We start from the raw sequence: 24,181 nt of genomic DNA on the forward strand, positions 1-24,181 counted from the left end.
CTAGGGGTGCAGCCCGATTGTTGTAGGTATGATGCCCAAAGGCTAAAACAAGCTCCTGGCAAGCACCAAAGGAAAGCTCAGACTCAGGAAACTCACCCCCAACGGGAGCCCAATCCCAACAGAGCAGGTGATAGGCAGGTCTAGGCATACGCCAGTCCCTGGACAGGAAGGCCAGGGTTCCAGGGGAGGCCCAGTCACAGATACAAAGCCCACGTCCACGCAGTCTGCTCAGGAGGGGAGGAGGGGCATCCGCTCACTTGAAACCTTTGATCATGATTCTCAAATAGGCAACAATCTTTCTACATACCCCGAGGGTAGGGGTTCCCGGGGTAGGGGTCCCCAGCCCCCGGGCCATGGACTGGCACTGGTCTGTGCTCTGTTAGGAAGCAGCTGCACAGCAGGAGGTGAGCAGTGGGCAGGTGAGCAAGGCTTCATTTCATCTCTATTTAGGGTTGCTCTCATTGCTCGCTTTACTGCCTGAGCTCCGCCTCCTGTCAGATCAGCAGCAGCATTGGATTCTCACAGGAGTGTGAACTGTGTTGTGAACTGTGCATCTCAGGGATCCAGGCTGTGTGCACCTTGTGAGAATCTAATGCCTGATGATCTGCCACTGTCTCCCATCACCCCATCACAGATGGGACCATCTAGTTGCAGGAAGACAAGCTTAGGGCCCCCACTGATTTTACATTATGGTGAGGTGTATAATTATTTCATTATATATTACAATGTAATGATTATAGAAATAAAGTGCACAATCAATGTAATGCACTTGAACCGTGAAACCCTCCCCGACACTGGTCCATGGAAAAATTGTGTTGGGTGAGACTGGTCCCTGATGCCAAAAAGGCTGGGGCCCCTGCCCTAGGAAATTCATATTTGCACTCTTAGGGGTGTTGTATTCTTCATTCTTTGCGAATAAATTAGCTTCCTCTTCTCCAAAAGAAAACAGAAACTATCACATGAAGACTAGCACATCTTCCCACTGAAAACTTTTATCAACTTACCTCTCTCTGTCCTCATATCTCACTTTCCCTCCTCGTATGATGGATACAGCAATCTCTGTGCAGTTATCTAACACAGATAGATGCTGAATTCTGGCTGTACTGAATTCCATCCTCTGTTATCTACCCAAGAAGTTAATTTCTATAATTATTCCACTTTCTACTGCAATTTTCATGCTAGAAATAAATTCCTTTTTGCCCCCACATCCCCTTATGGGTATTGCCTCTTCTCTGCTTCTCTCTTCAACAGAACTCCTTCCAAGGGCTATGAGTGCTTTCCATGGCCACGTCCTCAACACTGACCCCGTCCCCTCTGCAACCCACTCCAGTTATCTTCTGTCTCCTTCTCTCCATTGAAATGCCTCATGTCAGGGCCCCTGGCAGCCTTGGTGTTGCCAAACCCAAGGTCCTGTTCTTTGTCCTCCTCTTACTCAAACTCCCAGCAACACTCACCCCAACCATCTGCTCTGATAACAGCCTTGTCCACCTGCTCCTCCAGCTCCTCCCAGCTCACAGGTCGCTCCCTCATCTCCTGGGCTGGCTCCTCCTCCCTCTGCCGCAGGGGCAGGGCTCGGGCTACCCTCTTCTCCAGCTGCACTCTCTCAACATGTATATAGCCCAGTGGATCTCAACAGGGGACAGCTTTGCCCTGCAGGGGTCACTTGACAATGTCTGAAGACACTTTTGTCACAAGGTGGGGAGATGCCGCAGGCATTCGTGTCTGGAAGCCTTGGATTCGGCCAAATATCCTCCAACGCACAGGACAGCCCCCACTGCGCTTACTCCGCATAGAAGGTCCACAGTGCCTGTTCTGTCCAGCAACCCTATTCTAGTCCATGGTTTTAAGCCATTTTATACACAGATGACAGAGTCACAGGTTGATATGCCCAGCTCTAACCACCCCTCTAATTTGTATGTCCAACCGCCGCCTCACTATTCCTATTTGAATGTCTAAATAGGTGATTTAGAATTAACCTCTGACACAGCTCTTCATTTTCCTCCAAAGTCCACTCTTTCTTGGCCATTTCCCTCTCAGCCAATGCCACCAGTTATATAGACCAAAGCCCTAAAAGTCAATCTTTATTCTTCTCTAATCCTTATAAGACACAGCCCATCCAGCAGCAAAGCTCATGGGCTCTGCCCTCACAACCCACCTTAAAGCTGAGCATGTCTCACAGTATCCAGAATGTGTCTTCCCAAGCCTTCACTGTCTCTGGGTTGAACTTCTGCATTTGTCTTCTAGTTCTTCTCCTTGCATCTATTCTTAAAGCCTGAAAATCTGCTTTCTATGCAAAAGAGTTATCTTTTCAAATACATTAATCCCATCATGCCATTCTCTTGCTTAAATACCTCCCAATGGTTTCTCATTGAGCTGAGAGTAAAATCCTCCTCCCCACTGCGGCCTGCAGTCAGCCTGCCTTTCCCACCTGCCTCCTCCTGCAGCTCAGCCTGCCTTTCCCACCTGCCTCCTCCTGCAGCTCAGCCTGAATTTCCCACCTGCCTCCTCCTACAGCTCAGCCTGCCTTTCCCACCTGCCTCCTCCTGCTGCCTCCCTCCCTCCTACCAGCATTTCCCTAAGCCTCAGAAACACCAAGGACATTTCCTATTTGCAGCCTTTACAGTTTCTGCTCGCTCAGCCCGGAGCATCCTGGCCCCGGTCTCCATGGGGTGCTCACCATTGTTGAGGTCTCTGTCCAAACATGCTTCCCCAAAGAGGCCTCCCCTGGCTGCCCTATGGAAAGGCTGCACACCCTCCTCCCATATCTTACCTTGCTTTATTTTGCTTCACAAAACACACTGCTATTTGAAACCAAGTCATCATCTACTATTTAATATCAATGCATTAGCTCTCTTTCTCCCTAGCATGTGAGCCCCAGTCCAAGCAAGGATGCCGTCTTTTCACCACCACCTGCCCAGAATCCAGAACAGAGCTGCACATAAAAGGAGCTCCCAATACATGCAGAGTGACTTCTGTGTCTTCTGCGACAGATAGAGTCAGGACAGAGGGCGGGGGTGGGGGAGTGCAGGAAGGAAAGGGTGTGCTCCATCTTTTTAGTAATTATGCTCATGCTCACAAAGCCTCGTCTGTGAGTTTTTCCATACATTGTCTAATTTATCCAGGGGTGTGCTCCCAGTACTCAGGCCTCTTGGCAGGGCATTCTGAGACAAGGGACAGAAGGACTGACTGCTAAGCGGGGGCAAGTGGGGCTGAGATGTAGATTTGCACACGCCCTCTCTCTCTCCATAGTAGACCTGAGAACAAGGGTACGAGGCAGGAGTGAGAGCCAGGCTCTAAGGCGGAGAAGATGGCACAGAAAAGACAGCGTTTGGGAAAACTCACAGAATGCCATAGAGTTTCCATAATATATGATAAATTAAATTAGGTAAGAAAATTGCAGTCCAGTACTTAAAGTCAAAGACCACTTTTTGAAACTTCCAGATGTGTGTGATTTGGAGATAAATATTTGCATATCTTTCCTTTAATTATGTTTTTTTAAGAGAGTATGTGGAGAAGTTAAATACTCATGATTGCACGTAAATGTTACCAAAAGTATATGGAATGTCTAATCATCATTAATAATGGCTAAACTGTATTGCATATTTACCAAGTACCAGGAACCATCCTAAGAGCTTACCTGGATTTCTTTGTTAAATCCTCACAACATCCCTATGAGGTAAGATTCATTATTGTCCCTGTCATTTGGGAAAGGAAGACCTAAGCTTACTGATGTTATGCAACTTGGGCTCTGCATCACTTTGCTGTCTTGTTCCAGCAATTTCACATGAGAGGCAAGACACAGTGAGAATAAATCATATAGTTCAGGAGTAAAACAAGCTTTAGTGTCTGCAGATTACTATTTTAAAAATCCTAATGGAAATCAAGCATTTTGAAGACAAAATACATAAGAAAATACTGTAGTGGTCTGTCTCAGTCATCTAGAAAGCATTTCATTATCTTGGAAGTAAATGGCACATGATAAAATAAATACTCTATTTCCCCACATCTGGCTCAGCATCGCAGTTTTCCTAGTTATTTGTTCCTGTATTCCCAAATAAAACAGAGTCCAGAGATAGGAATCTTCAGGAAGCCACTGGGTCCTTAGAGTCTGAATCTGGGTGTTGCGGGAAGGTTGATGCCACTTCTCTTCCGTGCGGGCAAAGGCAGTGAGAAGAAGGAGCCAAGCTCCCTGCAAACTTTGTACACGTGCCTTTGTGCCTTGCCTACACCTCACTGTGACTCTGTGAAATAGACATTACTCTTTGATTAATTTCACCGTGTGCAGCTGAACCAGTGACTCTCAGGGAGGTACTTTCATGGTTGCAAAGCACATCTTACGTTGAAGCTGGAATCCTAGGCTTCCGCCTGATTATCAGAAAGGAGGGTATTTGCAGCCAAGGGAACTATTTGAAAATAACCACAACTTTAAATAAACAAGCAAGAAAACATAGGTAAATGAATAATATTCCAAAGAATGCCAAAGATGTGTTGTGTCCCTGCAAGTGTGCTGAACTGTACTGAACTGACCAAAGCACTGCAGTTCAGTGGGCTTGCTGAGGACCCAAAGCTCAATGTCATTCGCTCACTGTTGACAGCAAGGCCTTTGCCTATTAAAGGACTTCCCTGCCAGGCACAGGTGTGTATTGGAGAGAAGAGCTGAGGATACTGGGTCGTGGGACCTTGCACAGCCAGACTGTTAAGGGCTAGAAGAATATTTTCTAATCCGCAGCTCTGGGATCTATAAAATCTGCTAGAAGGTATGAGAATACAGACAGGCTGCACCCTGATCACCTGGCGATATTCAGGTGCAGTGCAGGAGACACTGAATTCAGCAGCAGCTGATGGAACATTTTTCCTAAATAAATCAAGTTGTTCAGGTGCGCTGACCAAATGACAAAAAACTGTAAAGTATTTTGTAAACTTTTATTATAGATTACAGTGGTAATTGAAAAGTCAAGAAAATTAACCCACTATAAAAAAGATATTTGAGCATGTAACTATATTTACAAGAAGCAGGTTGGAATTCTCAGGGACAGCTTGTGGAAATGAAGGTCCCCCATGGTCCATCGCAACCAACCGTGTTCCTGGCGATGCTGTGAGGGTGCATGAGATGGGAGCTTGCATCCAAAGAAGGATGTGTGAGGCCGAGGCGGGTGGATCCCCCGAGGTCAGGCGTTCGAAACCAGCCTGGCCAACATGGTGAAACCCCATCTCTACTAAAAATACAAAAATTAGCCAGGTGTGGTGGCAGGTGCCTGTCGTCCCAGCTACTTGGGAGCCTGAGGCAGGAGAATCGCTTGAACCTGGAAGGCGGAGGTTGCGGTGAGCTGAGATCGCACCACTGTACTGCAGCCTGGGTGAGAGTGAGACCTTGTCTCACTTAAAAATATATATATGTGAACAAAAGCATTGCACGGAAAACACTTTTAAACACGTTCACAAATAACAAGGATGGAGTGGAATTAATGGCCATCCTAAAAGAGCTGAAGCATTTGCCCAATCTGCCCAAGAAAGAAAAATTAAGAGATTTGAACCACTAAGAAATAATGTAGATTCTGCAGAACCCAATATTGACATCAGATAAATAAACAGTTATAAGTATTAACATATATAAATTACTGGGTCCAAACTGCCTCCATCCCAAGTAATTAAGAGAATTGACTACAACATTTCAAATGTTACTTTTGAAAAATCATGTAGAGTTGTAGTAATATCAGAATGCCGTAGAGAAAGTTAATGATTATGTAGCTCAAAAAGGAAAAGTAAATGAGACTGTAATATTGTGATTATTTAACTTAGTGTACAGATTGATCTTGCCTTAAATAATTACCAATTAACTTCTACTGAAAAATGTAGTAGGTATGATTGTGTATAACATACCTAGGGAAAAAGAAGTAAAACAAAAGAACATTGACCGGGCGCGATGGCTCGTGCCTGTAATACCAGTACTTTGGGGGGCCGAGGCGGGTGAATCACCTGAGGTCAGGAGTTCAAGACCAGCTTGGCCAATGTGGTGAAACCCTGTCTCTACTAAAAATACAAAAATTAGCCGAGCATGGTGGCAGGTGCCTGTAATCCCAGCTACTTGGGAGGCTGAGGCAGGAGAATCCCTTGAACGTGGGAGGCAGAGGTTGCAGTAAGCCGAGATTGCGCCGTTGCACTCCAGCCTGGGCAAAAAGAGTGAAACTCCATCTCAAAAATGAAAAATAAAAAATAAAAGAATATTAAGGATAAACTAAAATACTGAGAATAAAAATGTGTGTGTCCCATTGAGAAAACATTTTCTGAGTGCCCACTGAGCTCCACACACAATGGGAAAGCAGAAGAAGGATGGAAGTAGTAGAAGCTTGCATTCTAATGAGAGTGTTAGACGACTCGACTGTAATGCACAGGAAAAAGTAAATGCTATAAAAGAAGAAGCCTAAATCAAGGGTTACAGGAGGATTTAATTTTGGAAGAGGGAACAGGAAAGAGAAAGTGGTCAGAAAAGGCTTGAGGTAGACTGCTTTTTGCTGGCTTTAGCATGTGGTGGGCTTTCGACTGGCTGAGGACCAGAAGAAACATGCTTAGGGAGAGGGAGCTGGTCCACAAACAGGCAGAATGGCATGCATTATGAAGATGTGCCTTGCTAATTGAATTGCTTTTCTAAACAGTGGATGAAAAATAAAGTAGAAACAGAGTGATTCTGTTAGTCAGGTTCCCTGGAAATGGGCTCTGAGTTGGAGATTCTTGCACAGAAATAACGCCTATAAGAGACTGAGAATGCTATCCTTATCAAAATTCCAGTGGCATTTTTCACAGAAATAGGAAAACTATCCTAACATGTATATGGAACCACAAACACCCTGAATAGCCAAAGCAACGTTGAGCAAAAAGAACAAAGCTGGGACCAGGCGTGGTGGCTCATGCCTGTAATCCTAGCACTTTAGGAGGCCAAGGTGGGAAGATCACCTGAGGTCAGGAGTTCAAGACCAGCCTGGCCAATATGGCACAACCCCATCTCTACTAAAAATACAAAAATTAGCCAGGCACAGTGACAGGCACCTGTAATCCCAGCTACTCAGGAGGCTAAGGCAGGAGAATAACTTGAACCTGGGATATGGAGCTTGTGGTGAGCCAAGATCATGCCACTGCACTGTAGCCTGGGCAACAGAGTGAGACTCCATCTCAAAAAAAAAAAAAAAAAAAAAAAAAAGAACAAAGCTGGAGTCACCACACTGCCTGATTTCCAAATACACTACAAAGATATAATAATCAAAACAGCATGGTGCTGGCATAAAAACAGACATGTAGACCAAATAGAACAGAATAGAGAGGCCAAAAATAAATCCACACATTTATATTCAGCTGATCTGCAACAAAGCTGCCAAGAACATAACACAGGGAAGGGACAGTCTCTTCAATAAATGGTATTGAGAAAACTGGATATCCACATGCAGAAAAATGAAACTGGGCCTTATCTCACAACATACAAAAGTCAACTCAGAATGGATTGAAGATTTAAATATAAGAGTTGGAACTGTAAAACTGCTAGAAGAAAACATAGGGGAAAACTACGTGACATTGGCCTAGGTAGTTTTGTTGTTGTTGTTGTTGTTTTTGATATAACCCAAAAGGCACAGGCAACAAAAGCAAAACTAGATAAATGGGATTATATCAAACTAAAAAGCTTCTGTACAGCAAAGGAAATAATCAATAGAGTGAAGAGATAACCTACGGAATGGAAGAAAATATTTGCAAACCAAAAATCCTATGAGTTAATATACAAAATATATAAGGAACTCAAACAATTTGATAGCAAGAAAACAAATAACCCAATTTAAAAATGGGCAAAGGATCTGAATAGACATTTCTCAAAAGAAGACATACAGATGGCAAACAGGTACATGAAAAAATGGTCAGCATCAGTAATCATCAAGGAGATGCAAATTAAAACCATGATGAGATATCTCTTCACACCTATTAGAATGGCTAATATCAAAATGACAAAAGATAGCAAGTGATGTGGTTTGGCTGTGTCCCCACCCAAATCTCATCTTGAATTTTAATCTCCATAATCCCCACATGTCTAGGGAGAGACCTGGTGGGAGGTGATTGGATCACAGGGGTGGTTACCCTCATGCAGTTCTCATGATAGTGAGTGAGTTCTCACGAGATCTGATGGCTTTATAAGGGGCTCTTCCTCCTTAGCTCCTCACTCCCTCTCTCTCACCTGCCACCATGTAAGGTGTATCTCTTCCACTTCTGCCATGACTGTAAGTTTCCTGAGGCCTCCCCAGCCATGCAGAACTGTGAGTACTTTATACATTACCCAGTCTCAGGTAGTATCTTTATAGCAGTGTGAGAATGAACTAATATAGCAAGTGTTTGTAAGGATGTGGAAAAAGAGGACCCTTACGCACTGTTAGTGGGAGTGTAAATTAGTACAGCCATTATGGAAAACAGTATGGAGGTTCCTCAAAACGTTAAAAATAGAGATACTGTGTAATCCAGCAATCCCACTTCTGGGTATATAGATGCAAAGGAAATTAAATCAGTATGTTGAAGAGATACTGCACTTTCATTTTCATTGCAGCATTATTCACAGTAGCCAAGACATGGAATCAACCTAAGTGTCCATCAGTCGACGAATGGATAAAGAAAATGTGGTACATATACACAATGGAATACTATTCAGCCTTTAAAAAGAAGGAAATTGGCTGTGCACAGTGGCTCATGCCTGTAATCCTAGCACTTTGAGAGGCTGAGGCAGGAGGATCACTTGAGTGCAGGAGTTTCAGACCAGCCTGGGCAACACAGCAAGACCCTGTCTCTACCAAAAAAACAAAATAAAAAGAAGGAAATCCTCTCATTTTCGACAACATGAATAAACCTGGAGGACATTATGCTAAGTGAAATATACCAGTCACATAAAGACAAAAACTGCGTGATCTCACTCATATGTGGAATCTAAAGTCAAATTCATAGAAGCAGAGAGTAGAACGGTGTTTAGCAGGAGCCTGGGGAAGGAAAGCGGATTGGGAGATGTTGGTTAAAAGGCACAAAGTTTTGATGAGACAGGATGAATGAGTTCTGGAGATCCACTGCAGTCTGGTGACGCTGGTTAATAATAATGTATATTTGAAAATTGCTAAGGGAGTAGGTCTTAAATGTTCTCACCACAAAAACATGAGAAGCATGTGAGGTGATGGATATGCTAATAAGCTTGATGTAATCATCCCACAGGGTATGGCGTACATGTGTTGAAACATCACATTGCGGACTGTAAATGTATATAGTTTTTATTTGTCAGTTAGGCCTTAATAACGCTGGAGGTGGGAAGAAAGAGGAAGAAACGGCTGGGCAGGAGAGGTTAGACTGCCTGGAGGAGGTCCCAGGCAATCTCCACTTGAGGCCAAGGGGCTGGGGCTCTGTGCCTATACATTAGCCAGCCCATGCAGGCTGCTGGAGGAAGGGGTAACCTTGAGTGAAGCAGCTCCTGTCTGAGGCAGAGGGCAATTCCCAGGGTGAGACCCAGCCATCGGTGGCTCACATCCCAGTGCCTGGGGAGAACCTGTTCTCTAGGAGGGTTGGGGCAGTACTCAGCAGCAGCCTCCACCGTGACCCATGATGTAGTAAAGGATAAACTCCAAAAATGTTTGAAAGTGTTTGCATCATTGATGTCTATTTTAATTAAAAGAGCCAATGGGATTAAAAATCATGGTAAACTGATCCTTTGTAGTTCATAAGTGTGATGAGTAGGATTTCACACTCATGTGTGAGATATGCCTCCCTCAAACCTTATAAATGATGATGGTACGTTAAAAAAAATAATGGTAAACCACATAAGATTCCACGGGAATTTTTGTGGCATGTAAAAACATGACTTCCTGCTTGTATTAGGCCATTCTTGCATTGCTATAAGGAAATACCTGAGGCTGGGTAATTTTTAAGAGATTTAATTGACTCCCAGTTCTGCAGGCTGTACAGGAAGCATTGTGCTGCCATCTGCTTCCCAGGAGGCCTCGGGAAGCTTCTACTCACGATAGAGGGCGAAGTAGGAGCACGCACATCACAAGATGAAAGCAGGAACAAGAGGGAGGTGGGAGGTAAGGTGCCACGTACTTAACAACCAGACCTCACCAGTACTCACTCACTAGGGCAGGGATGGCACCCAGCCATGAGGCATCCACCCCATGACCAAAGCACACCTCCCACCAGGCCTCGCCTCCAACACTGGGGATTCCATTTCAACACAACATTTGAGCGCGATCAGATATTCAAACTATAGCACTGCTGTTCTAATGAGTTAGAAGTTGAAGATGCACCAATATATGTAACGGAAAGATAACGAGAGGACTGTAAGCCATTCCCATGGGTGTGCCGTCCTTCATGAAGGAGCAGAGCCAGCAGCCTACCCATCGTTACAGGACTTGCACTGAGCCAGGTCAGCAGGAGCAGAAACAGCTTTATACTGATGGGGACTACAAAGCTTTAACACCCAGGTCCAGCAAACATTCACCCTTACACCCAGACCCTCATACACGTTTGCAAGACTGGACAAGATAGGTCTGCCTGTTCCATTGAGACGAACTGCCCTCCCTGTGGCGAGAATGAAACCCACAACTTGGGTGTTATTAGCACAGCCTCTCATCAAATTGACACCACCAGCCATAGGTTATGATAATAAGAAAATAAGGCAAATGCAGCTAAGCTGATATGTCCAAGTCGAAAAAACTAATTTCAGCTTAGAAAAACAGCACACTAATGAAGCTTTTAAAAATTAACTTGTGATTAAAGATCATACAGACAGGCAGTGTTGGTGAAAAACCACAATGAACATCAAAACAAGCATGAGTTCAGAGTCTGGAAATGTATCCAGAAGGTTATTGTTTTTAAATATACAGAGAAGACACATATATTTGTTTCCTGTTTAAGATATATATGTATATTAGAAAACAAGAAAATTATTTTTTTTTCAATCTACCACTAATCAGTGTGACAAAAATCCATGACCCTCCAGGAATTTGACCAGCTCTCCAGGCAATGGATTCTTCAAATGAGAGCAAGTTGAAGTACTTGTGGTATCAGAAGATGTAGTCAGAGTCCCTGAGCCCAGAGGGTGTTCTTAATCTACGCCTGAAAATGATTGAAATGGACATCAGTGGAGGCAGATAAGCTTTGGAAATCTTTAAGCAGGCAAAAAAAAAAAAAAAAAAAAAAAAAAATGGAATAAGTAAACCTAGAAGAGTACCTGGCACACAGCGGAGGCTCAACATGTGCTGGATTAATTCATTAATTCATTCAAAATTATGCTGGCGGTCAGTTTATGACAAATAGATTAAGATAGTGCACGGGTGCACGGCCATTAGAGTATGATTAGTAAACCAACTTTATACCAAAGAATTCCTTTTTATGGAAAAAGTACAGTCACTTTTTTAAAACTTTCGGCAATACTGCAGAAGTAAAGGAACGATGGTGAACGATCATGATTATTTTTGTAACATTTCCCAAAGTAAAAATTTCAGCTGAAAATAAAAAGAAACCTTTATAAATTGGAATAAATGCAGACTGGAGTGATTCTCTAGCACAGTGACCAACATTTGGACACATCACATAAGTCTTAAAGGTCGCAGAATGAGTCTAGTTATATATGTTTTTCCATTCCAGACAGCTTGAAATTTACTGTCTAATTCAAAAGTCCAAAACTATAAAACTCCTGAAAATAATCTTTCCAAATGACCAGTTTACTTTCTCCCTGGACCTGAAAATAGGATGGAAGGGAAGTCTAATTCTGAGAAAGTAGAATCTCCTTCTGATGTTTTGTTTATAAAAATAGTAAACATTTTACTGAACCAGAAAGGGCTAAATTTCATATCTCAATTTAAAAGTATTTGCAGGCCAGGCATAGTGGCTCATACCTGTAGTCCCAATGCTCTGGGAGGCTGAGGCAAGAGGATCACTTGAGTCCAGGAGTTCAAGACCAGCCTAGTCAACATAGTGAGACCCCCGTCTCTACAGAAAAGTAACCAGGGGAGAGGTGGTGCACACCTATGGCACTCAGGGGGCTGGGGCAGGAGGATCACTTTGAGCCCAGGAGTTAGAGGCTGCAGTGAGCAATAATCGTGCCACAGCACTCCAGCCTGGGTGACAGAGTGAGACCTCTGCCTTCTGCCTCTAAAAAAGACAAAACCACCACCACCACCACAACAAAAAATCCAGTATTTGTGATCCCTTTCAAAGCACTGATTCTTCTGCTTCTCAGAGCACTCAGATTGCATCTGATCTTTGCTTGCCAGAATCATCATTTTATGGTTTAGCAAGGAGTTGTCTGCAGGCTTTGCTCCAGTAATGGTTCCAAAGACATTCAGCCACAGCTTGAATAACCTGCACCTGAGCACAAATGTGGCATTCGTAGTCAAGCACCATCGTTCCCCTTCAGTTAGTTAGTCTCGTGACTTTTTTAAGTAGTAATTCCACACCTGTCAAATGCTGTTGGAAGAGACCCTTGAATAGTTCTAGGAGAACCCTCCTCTGGGAAGAAATTTGGGACAGAAGAATTTTTCTTAAGAAGGAAGAAAAGATGGATGAGGAAAGCGCTGACTTCCTCTCATGAGGACCAACAGGCTCCACAATTCCTTTAGCGGCAGTTGTCAGCAAGATGCCCAGAACTGTCTCCAGGCGACAGCAGAGGTCAATTTCAGGTCCACAGAGTCCCACTAACCTCCTATAATTTAGAACCTAATTCAATTGTAACCTGATGGTGAAATTATTCAACAGTTTGCTTCTGGGCATTGAAATAAATAATAAAAAACAGCAAATTTAATACTGCCATTGTTGACATTCTCTACAGTGGCATCAGAAACGCCTCAAAGTCCTATTTACTTCCAAGTGGCCATCTTCATAGTACATTGTCCTTTGTGAAAGCTCTTTGCAAAGAGAATGTACGTCTATATATGTAACATTTGCACCATGCATTACAGTTTTTAAAGAGCTTAGCAAATATGAATCTTCTTTACTACACAGCACTCCTTTAAGATAAAGCATTCAATAACCAATTTTTAATCTCTTCATTGTAGCACAGGTAACTGTGTCCTTATGTTAGGAAATTATGCCCCTTAGAATACCAGTTATTCCAATTTATCAGCCTAAAATGTATATGGAGTACTTACTGTAAGTCTACATGCATAGAATTTTTTAGTGTAATAAAATATTCACTATTTAATGGACAAAACATCCGAAAGAGATCCTACTTTCTCAGAATTAGACTTCCCTTTCCTCCTCCTATTTTAAGTTCCAGGGAGAAAATAAACTAGTTATCTGGAAAGCTTATACTTAGTGGAGTTTTATAGTTTCGACTTTTGAATAGACATTAAATTTCATGCCATCTAGAATGGAAAAACATATATAACTAGACTCATTCCACGGCCTTTAAGACTTATTTGACGTGTCCAAATGTGTCCAACTATGTGTCTATATGTCTGTTTATTGCTGATGGAAACAGCAACAGTAATTCACCTTCAAAATCCCTAAAACGTGGTTGAATAAACAAATGAAGAACGCAGGATGGTGTGTAATGCCGAACTGCTGTAGGTGCAGAGTTAGGGAGGGAAAAACCCGGAAGGTTATCAGAGCCTCCAACATTCAGAAAAGACTTCCTGGAGGAGAGAGGCCTTCAATTAGGCCTCGAAGGACAGTATTTGGAGAGAGAGGAGGAGGTAGGTAAGGTGTCCCTGCCAGTAATTACAGCCTCGTGAAAGAAGCCTGCGGGACAGAAATGAATATGGTATTGAGATGGCAGAGGAGAGAGGTCAAGGGTGCCACAATCTTCAGGCACAACTAAGAAGATCCCTGCAAAGGCAACGGCTCCTCTGGGCCAGCAGAGAAAGTGGAGACCCCAAACAGGGGCTCTCAAGATAGGATGGGGCTGCGGCTGGGAGCGGCACCACCTTTGGGAGGCTGGCAAGGTGGGCAGGCCCACGGGGGAGCCGTGGCTTGCTGGCTGGGGTTTCTCCTGCCAGCAGCACTGGCGTCCTCCAAAATTGCTTCCTGCGGCTTTTCTATTTCTCTTAACTTCATCCACTGTCTTTTCTTATGTCCTGTGACCCACTCACTGCCATGCCACTGAAAATGCTGTTAGAACAAGAAAACAGTAGTCTGTGTCATGTTAATCACATCCTGCTCGAACATGGCCAGAGTTCCCTGCCCATACCCTTTATAAAGCAGTGGACAGTCCCCAGATGGGCTTGCTGGAAGTCTGCACCGGCGCTGCATGCAGGAGAGCCCCGGGCTGCTCTGACCACAGTGACATGCCGGGTTGTCACACCCTGCACGGATGCAGACAATTCCATACAGATGGATCAGCAACTTTGCAGGTCTTCACAACTATGAGCCCAGATCCGCTGAGCCAGGATGCCTCAGCAAAAGGTGACTTCACATAGGGTGGCTTGAAAAGGCAAGCAATCCTGGCTGACTGCATGCCTTCCCCAGGACCAGCACCCACCAGGTGACTCCTTTTACCCTCAACAAACTCCATCTGCCAGTCAGAGCCCCTTATCCATGAGCTTGCATAGTTTCAGAATCACTCTCAACAAGCAGAGATCCATTTGCCTCTCTGAGGTGGGACCATACAGGTGCAAGAGCCTCTCCAGACCACTGGCTGCAGGTTGGCCATGATAAACAGCCTCACCCAAGAATGCTGAGCACGCAGTTACTGTAGGTAAACAAGTCCCGGCTTCACTCTCAGCTGGAGCTGGCACTACGTTGGTATTTATGTAATGCTGCATTGGCAGATATTTCATCTGCAGTATATGTTGAAATGGACAGATAATTATTTAGAACAAATAAAATAAGCTACTTCTGAAGATGACTTGAAGTGGGCACTGACTTGCTGGGACTCTCAGGCCAGCCTCTACCACCCAAGGCAGCTCTCTACAGAACACAAAGGTCCAGCCTAGAAGGGAGTGGCTGAGGTGAGTGCCTCAGGACAAGCCAACACAGTGATGTTCATTCCAGGAATATTTATGATGAAGAGAACCCAGGAGAGCTGAAGATTAGCGTCACACTCTTATAATAGAGAAGAGTTCACCTGCACCAGGTGCCGTGTCCCGCTGGGGCCTGGCTACTCCAGAGGCTCCTCCGCTGCTGCAATGTGCCCGAGCCCCAACCTGCAAGTCCTCCTGGTAGAGTAGCTCTTAGCTCCAGCCTGCGTGTCAGACCAACGCCCACACTTTGTCCACTTCTTACTTTGTTTAGTAAGAAGGGAAGGGAAAAGGAAGAAAAAGAGGAAAGGAGGAACAAAGGAAGAGGAGAAGGAAGAAGGCAGTGCAGTAAGGGAAGGGAAAGGTGGGAAGGTGTGGAAATAAGAAGCAGAGATGAGAAGGGGCAGAGGAAGGTGGCTCTGTGGTCCTGGCCTTGTTCATGGCAAAACACACTTATACTTTGAGGGTGTTCCGCTTCCCTAAGGCACACCGGGGAAGGTCAACAGGTTCCTGTGGACCAGCGAGAAGAGGAGCCCTGTTCAGGAACAGCAGGCAATAGGAAGAGACAAAAGTGATTGATTCCCTGAGGTGCCAGAGCAGGAAGAACAGTCCAGGCATGGCCTGAGAGCAGAGCAAGGTAAAGAGCACGCCTCACCTACCCCCCAGCTCACGCTCCCAGGAGGAGGCCCTGGCCCTGCACAGCCAGCCCCTCCACCCCTCCTCCAGGAGCCTCCACCCCCGAAACCAGCCCTCAGCCCTCTCCCAACTCTGCTCCTCCAGCTGAAATACTGCCCCTCACACCAGGGCCGCATCCCTCTGGGACTACAGCTGGAGTGGCCCTGCCAGTGTAGCAAAGGGCATCTCTGGGGAGGAGATGGTCTCAGCAACTTCAAACACATTTTCTGTTAAGTTTTCTCTTGTATTGTGATGTTACAGAACACGCTCAGCAGGAATTTGTCCCCCAAGAAGTATTCTTTGCTGCAATCCATCTTCAATTCACAATGGGAATAACCTGCTCACTATCCTTTGTATTTTTCTCACCTACTTTCATGTTTTCTACATCTCTGTTAGGAGATTTAAATTATTTAGGGACAAAGCTGAAGGTGTGTGAATGGATGGATGAAGAGATGGCTGAACTGATTGATGAACAAAAAGTTCACCTGCCAGTAAAAACAGAGGAATGGAGTAGAATGCAGGAGGCCGGAGGCTGCAGGGGCATTTTACAGTTGACCTAGATGGTAATTTGGAGAGAGAGGGAGAGAAATGACACCAGCCTTGAACTTGAGAGATGCCATTTTCTAAATTACCCTGTGTGGCTAAATGACTTTTGCATGCTAGCCCAAAGAAATAACTGCCATGCATTTCACTGTGTGAGAAAACATATTATGAGTTCAAGAAAATAAGAGGAAACATTTTAACATCAAGATGGGAAGGGATAAAGACAGTCCAAGAGGCCGTGGAGGGGGCAGGATACAGCTGTCCACATGAGAAATGGCAGTGACTTCTTTGTGTTAGGGGCAGAGGAGATGGAGAAAATGGAAATATTTGAAAAATATTGAAGACATATAAAGGACAGGTCTTAATAACACAGAATTGTGAGTGAGGAAGTAGGATGAGTAAAAGATAACTTCTGGATTTCTGTTCTGAAAACAAAATTCTGGAAGGGGAAATGGAATGAGGAGCACGTTTGTAGGGAAGGAGGGAAATTGTAAGTTGCACTGTCCTTCATTGTTAAGATTTCACCAAATGAGAGACATTCAAATAGAAATATTCCCTAAATAATAAGACATTTTGTCTTGGGGCTCAATAAGAAATGCCTGGTGGGAAGTAATAGATTTTATTCAGCCATTTAAGAGTGTTCAGGTCTTGGGGGATAACTATCATCATTAAAGGAAGAGTACTCTTGTCATTAATGATGGAGATGGTCCATAGAAAGTGACACAGAGCAGGGACAGAAGATGATCTAGGGTGCAGTTCTGAGTCTCACCCTCTGCTATAGTTTGGGTATGGTTTGGATATAGCTTGTTTGGCGCTGCCAAGTCTCATGTTGAAATTTGATCTGCAATGTTTGAAGTGAGGCCTGGTGGGAGGGTCATGGGGGGTGCAGATCCCTCAGGAATGGCTTGGTGCCATTCTCAGGGGAGTGACTTCTCATGGGAGTGGGTGAGTTCTCACTCTTAGTTCCTGCAGAAACTGGTTGTTGAAAAGAACCTGGCAGCTCCTCCTCTCTTGCTTCCTCTCTGGCCATGTGATCTCTGCACACACCAGCTCCCCTTCGTCTTCCACAATAAATGGAAGCTTCCTGAAGCCCTCACCAGAAGCAGATGCTGGTGCCATGTTTCTTGTATGGCCTGCAGAGCCATGAGCCAAGATAAACCTCTTTTCCTTAAAAATTATCCAGCCTCGGCATTCCTTTATAGCAGCCCCAACAGACTAAAACACCTACATTTAAGGGACAGACGGCTCCCAAAGGAGACCAAGCAGATGTAGCCACAGATGCAGGTCAAAAACCACAGGAGTTTACTTCTATGGGCACCAAAAGAAGAATGTGTTTAAACAAAGAGAGCAGAGTCAAAAATTTCTCTTGGAGGCAAAGTAAAATAAAGGCTGAAAAATGTCCATTGAACTGAGCAACAATGCTGTCTTGGGTAAAGCAGTTTTCATATAGAGGTAAAACAGAAGCCAGATTATAATGGGTAAAAAAATAAATGAGAGTTGAGGAAGAGAGCAAGTACAGGCAACTCTTTTTAAAAAGTTGATTTTGACGAAGGAAAGTGGGGCCAAATGTTGGTAACGTTTTGGGTTAGACAGAGACTTGCTAGTTTTAAGACGAAAAGACACGACTATGTTTAAATGAAGAAAGATATGAGCTCCATGAAACTGAAGGTACAAAAAAGAAAGGCTATAATCTATTGTACAAGGGCCCTGAGGAGGTGGGAAGACATAGCGGAAGAATTTGCCTGAAATGAGAAGGGGCTCACCTCTTCCATCGTAAGCCGGCTGAATGGGAGTTGTGGGCATGACTCGAGCAGTTCAGACGCACCACATTTCCTGCTGCTCTCTAATATCCCCAAACCTGTCATATTTCCCCTTTTGCATGTGACAGTCTAATGATAATCCTGAAGCATATACAGATATATTTCTTCTCCATTGATAAAGCATCATATAATCTTCTGGAGACACAGGCTCCATTAAAATAATTTCTCAATTTCCCCATTGTACGTAACTGCCTTCCATGAAGCTTGCCACTAAAATGTCACTTGACTGAGAGGAGGTGGTGTTGGTGACTAGAAAATGTATGTCTTGAGAGCATGGTGTTCTTTTACTTGTGGAATATGAAATATCTGCTTCCAAATTCCTCAAGGTCCTTCTCCTTGGAGAAGGGGTTTTCCTCTTGCCAGATCATGCCATTCATCCCCTGTGTTAATGTCTATAGACTAGCAAGGAAATGTGCCTAAATTCAACAGCTTGCCAGCACCTAAGAGAAATTATCAGAAATATTGTCCACTTCCTCTTATACATTTCTCTCTGGAAAATTTTTTCAATTTCACAAGGTTTTATCATCTATATTATAGGGATTTGTTTTTAATTCTTCACAATTTCCTTACACTCCTCCAAAGGAATCTTTAACAAGTACAGTTCTCTTTTTCAATTCTGCCCTTGGTGAGTCAATTTATAGTGTGGTTTGATATTTTATTATTGTCAAATATTGCTTATAAGAGAGAGGCTTTGGTTTGGTAACAACTAAACACTAAAAAAGAAAGGAAAAAAGTTGTTTTTTTTGTTTGTTTTTGTTTTTTTAAAGAGAGGCTTTGGGAAAACTGGCAAACTTTCTGCTCTTCCAAAGGTTACTTGTTATATGACTGATCTCCAAGCATTTATTTATCTGAAAAAATCTGTTTGTGATTCTGCCTATGTCAGGGCAGCAATGGCTACAAGATACTTTGAAAGATGGTGGGATATGCCACACAGGGTATGGCATACCCTGTATGAACCTCAGGGTAAATCATGTTAAATAGAACTGTTCTCCTCCCATCTGCCAAAGCACATTTATTTTTCTTCAAACCAAAATGTAGTTTGACCTCCAGGTAGGTTTCCTAAACAACCCTGCCCTTCTCCATTCCTCCTAGTGCCACCTTGAGCTGGCCTTCTTCTGAATACTCTTTCATTTATTGGTAATTGTGACTCACTTATGTATACTTATGCTTTGCTAGCTTCTTTCCCCCTTTGGAAATTAATCTCAGCAGAAACTGAGTTGAATCTCTTCTACGTATTCCTAAGCATAGCTGTCCTTTGAGCACTCCATAAATATTTGTCTACTGACTGGTTGAAGATTTAGTCTCACACAAGTGCAGATGAACTTCATCTCATTTTAGAACTCTGATGGGAAATATGACTGTGTTACACAAGATTCCGGGTCTTTTCCTACCCTCGGGTGAATAAAGAGCCATAATCAATTACAAATGTCTGCTATGGGACTGAAAAGATGGCAAGAAGAGGTGGAGACTGTGCCGCTGTACCAAGAGTTTGCCACTTCGTTTTAGTGGGGCATTGAATGGTTGATTGTATTAGTCCGTTTTCACACTGCTATAAAGAACTACCTGAGACTGGGTAATTTATAAAGAAAAAAGGTTTAATTGACTCATAGTTCTGCAGGCTGTACAGGAGGCATGGCTGGGGAGGCCTCAGGAAACTTACAATCATGGCAAAAGCTGAAGGAGAAGCCAGCTCATCTTACATGGCTTGAGCAGGAGGGAGAGAGCAAAGGGGGAAGTGCTACACACTTTTACAACAACCAGACCTCATGAGAACTCACTATCATGAGAACAGCAAGGGGAAAGTTCCGCCCCCATGATCCAATCACCTTCCACTAGGCCCCTTTCCCAACATTGGGGATTACAATTCAACACGAGATTTGACTGGGGACACAGAGCCAAACTATATCATTGATGGTTTGATACAGGCTTTTGAGATACGTAATGTGTAGATATTTCCTTTAATTACTTAGCATGATGAATTTCATCAAACCTAAATATATATCAGTGGTTTGATTGGCTAGTTGGTGGGTGGGGTTTTTTTGGCAGGGGGTGGGTTTACCCTCCATTTCTTTAGTCTGACAGTATAACTTTTGGTCACGTGATTGTTCCATAAAATATATTGGGATTGCATACATCCTAATTTGCAGTAATTTTATTTTCTTGATAGACACAGTCTTCTGTAAATGGATTTTTATCTTAGCAAGTATTTTTTATATACATATTTTCTACCAACATAGCTAATTTGACTAGATGTTATTAAATAGGGAGAAAATCTAGCTCTAGTTCATGTTTTCTCTTGCTTAAGGAAAACAAAAATGCTCAACTTTTGTTGAAAATGAATGTAAGGCCAACGGTAACATTATTCAAAATATAATAATGTCCTTTTTAAGATAAAGTAAATTGGAGTTGTCTCTTTGTCACCCCAGTTACTGTCTCTAAGGCCACATTTCTGTTCTCATAAGATAGGTTATATGAAAAGAAATTGAAGCACCATAAATTACATTAGTGTAAGGTCACAAATTAATCACTTTATAACCTATTTTCTCTTGAAAACTCTTTCTTTATAGAAGTTCTACCAGAAAATGGCTCACACTATTGAACTTAATAGGTTATTACTACATGTTTTGCTCAGTATTCTAAGCCAAGTCATCAGGAAAAGATTATAGTTACCAGTTCCCATTGTCCTGTTTGACATCAATGAAAAGATGCTTTACTTATATTTTCATGTGTTATTTATCCTGTCAGAAGATATATCCATTTTATATGCAGCTAAAGTTCCTGGGGCTTTTCATTAATCAACTAAACACAGGATGTGCTTGAAGGAAGAGCTGTGGAAGGGAGTATTGCCCCACTGTGGAAGGGAGTGTTGCCAAACCCTTTTAGTAAAACTGAAATTATATTTTCTTGGTTAACTGAAAAAGAAAATGTTAATGATGGTGTGGACTAGCATCAGAATTAATTTTACTCTACAATTGAATTTATGGTCAAAGTGTCATATTCCTATTATTTAAGAATGTTTTGTATTATATCTTAAATAAAATTTATTAGCTGAATAAATATTTATATGCATGATATAATGGAATAAAAGAGGGAGCAATGGAGACTTTATTTCAATAAGTGAGTTTTATATACAACAGTAAATAATTAAATCCAATTGATTCCAGAACTCATAAGGCACTTCTTTTATAAGGATAAGTGCAGTATTGGTGTTAGATTGAGTCTATAACTTATAACAGTATCATACTTGGGAGGAAGAATTTGAATAGAAGGGCAGAACAGAATTTGAATCTAGTTCAAATGAGAGAAAATCTTTGTAAAGTGCTGGCATAATGAAGGAAGAAGTGATTTGACATTGGCATAGATTCTCTCTGCTGTCAAAGATCTGAAGAAGTCGTTTCATCCCACTGCCCCACATGGGGCATTTTAGCCAGTTGACTGCTGGTGGTCTCAGACAAAGAAGGAACACGTTCAACACCACCATCAAGGACTTTCGTAGTCTTGATTCTTAGACTTTGAATAACTCTTCTTTGAGTTCTATTAACATTCATCTTTATTTTTCTCAGTATTGTAGAATAGAATGTTTAGACTTCCCAGAATATTTTTTTCTCATGTAAAAGGCTCAAAAAAATGGTGTCTCTTCTGTATTTCTATCAGTCACTCTTTCTTCTTTGTCCTTCATACTTGAGTTAATCCATCTCATGCTTCAACCTCACTTTTGGCGTGTAATCACCCATGTTGTTTTGCTATCTCTGATGATGGAAGTGAGTTTGGTGGAAGCAAAGATGGCATTTGTCTGTGTCTATATCCCCAACTACTGACCTAGTGGTCAGCACTTAGCATGTGGTAAAAGCTTGTGAAAGAAGCGTTTCAAAGTTTAGTTCCAAATCCCATCACCTCGATAAATTACTGAACAAGGCACTTATTCTTTTTGAATATTTTTCTCATTTATAAAATGAGGCTAATGATATCTTCTCTCTGGGTTTTCATGACAAGCAAAATAATGATTGAGAGATTTGTACCATGTAAGATATGATTATTTTTCTAACCTTCAACTGGAGGAAATTCTGTCAACACACGGTTTTAAGTTTCCAAGTAGTATATTTCTGTGCATTCTGTTGGCATTCAATACTTACTGCCCACTGAAATGAGTCTTCTTCTTTTATCATAATATTCTTAAGATGCTTGCCTGGCGTCTTGGTTTCAAGGACCACCTCTATAAGAGACTCCACAATCTACACTTCAACACTTGATCATTTACCTCTGCCCAGAATCATGTCTGTAAGAATTAGCTCCATCAGAATTTCGTCCAGGAGTCCCTAGGTGGACACCTTGCTGCTTCTCCCTGCTACAACTCAATCTCTCCAAGTGCAACCCCTGTCCTTCTTAACATCACCTGATGGTGTGGGCACAGCTGGCTGTTCATTGCCCCTCCTGCTCCCACGGCTGCCCCAACCCCTACACACACCCACACCCCCCACCCCTACACACACACGCACACTCCCACATACACACACACGCACACTCCCACATACACACACACTCACACTCCCACATGCACACACACTCACACCTCCACCCCCACACACACACACACTCACACATTCACACTCCCACTCCCACCCCTACTTCTACACACACTCACATACACACACACTCTCACACTCCCACCCCGACATACACACACTCTGACACACACTCACACTGTCACACGCTCATACTTCCATCCATAACACACTCACACTCCCACCCCCCCCACACACTCACACTCCCATCGTCACATACACATACACACACACTCACACCCCCATGCCCACATACACATACACACACCCTCACCCCTACTTCTACAGACACATACACACACACTCACACCTCCACCCCCCCACACACACTCACACACACAACTGACGCTGGCTCGCGCACATGCTATTCCCAGAGCTCTGCTTCCGAGACGGTGGTGGCTCCCCGGGGCCGCACCTGTGCCTCCGCCGGGCCTGTGGGGTGAGTGGGATGCTAACGCCTGGCCTTGGAGAGAGATGTCTGGGAGGAGGAGGGGGGGACGTGCAAGGGACGATTGGGGGGTGCATTAAGAAAGAAACCCATGGAATATGAAAGCTGTGACGGGGACAGAAAATTTAAGAAAAAGCAGAAATTTTGTTTAAAGATTTAGGGAAAGTGTGGCTGTTTAAGAGACAAGCTCTGTACTCCCGTCCTCGTGAAGACTTCCATAAAATCTATACTATTTAAAGCTGCTTTTGGTGTTGAGTGTTGGAGTCTGTGAGTACAGGGTGAGGTCACGGGGTCCAATGGTCGCCTTGCCTGACGCCCTGTGGGGTGACTCCCACCTCCTTGGTCCCCTCCTCCTCAACCACCTGGCTGGGAGAGGGCTCGTACCCTCCTGCTTTGGGCTGCGTTCTCACTTTCACCCAGACCTCACGCTCCTAAACACCTCCTTGGATTTGGGCACATACGCGGTGGGGCCTCTTCAGCTGTAGAGTCATTAACCCTAAACTCCTTGTTCATGGAATCAACAGCCGACTGTGCCGTCCTCACCCTCGGGGCGCTGCCCTGTGGAGGGAACGTGGTCCATTCCGGAGCGCAGCTCTGCCCATGTTTGCCCGGTGACCTCGACCAGTATCCCCCCTCAAGTAAACGAGGGCTGCATCAGGCTTCCCTCCTCGCCCGTAGCAAGGGGCTTGCCCTTTTGCTTCTGCACCATAAAAGCACTCATGTTCCAGAAAGACTTCTCATAACATCTGCTTGAAATTTTACTCCCCAAAATCGGACTTTTCTTACTAATTTCTAATTCTTCTCAAAAGGCAACTCAAGTCTATGTGACATATTTATCTGCCAATCTTTCTCCAATTCTTAATGTAAATTATACAGAAAATTGGTATTTGATATTTTTCGGCATGTTTCCTAGTGAAAGATAAGATTTTATATACCATGTAAATTTCATTACCTGAGAGAGGGGAAGAAAAAAGGTGAAAGGTACTGCTGAACCTGTACACTGCAACAGTTTAATTTAAATTTATGATATGCTGTCATTGGGGAAAAAATCAGTAAAATATCTGAATGTTCACTTAACATATTTTCAACAAAATCTCATTTTTTTCTCCTCAAGTCTTTATTTGATTTACACACCAAGAAAAGCAGAAAGGATGGCAGGTTCAATTACAAAGC

The 24,181-nt window shown here is 43.4% G+C and overlaps 1 protein-coding gene and 1 pseudogene across 5 annotated transcripts in view; both read left to right on the forward strand.

Annotated features, from left to right (window-relative positions):
• PACRG (parkin coregulated) overlaps positions 1 to 24,181 on the forward strand; it is a 588,369-nt gene that overhangs the window by 490,068 nt on the left and 74,120 nt on the right. The window lies entirely within an intron of this gene.
• Positions 9,711 to 9,806, forward strand: LOC124901548 (uncharacterized; annotated as a pseudogene).

Source organism: Homo sapiens, chromosome 6 (genome assembly GCF_000001405.40).
Source record: "Homo sapiens chromosome 6, GRCh38.p14 Primary Assembly".
NCBI lineage: Eukaryota > Metazoa > Chordata > Mammalia > Primates > Hominidae > Homo > Homo sapiens.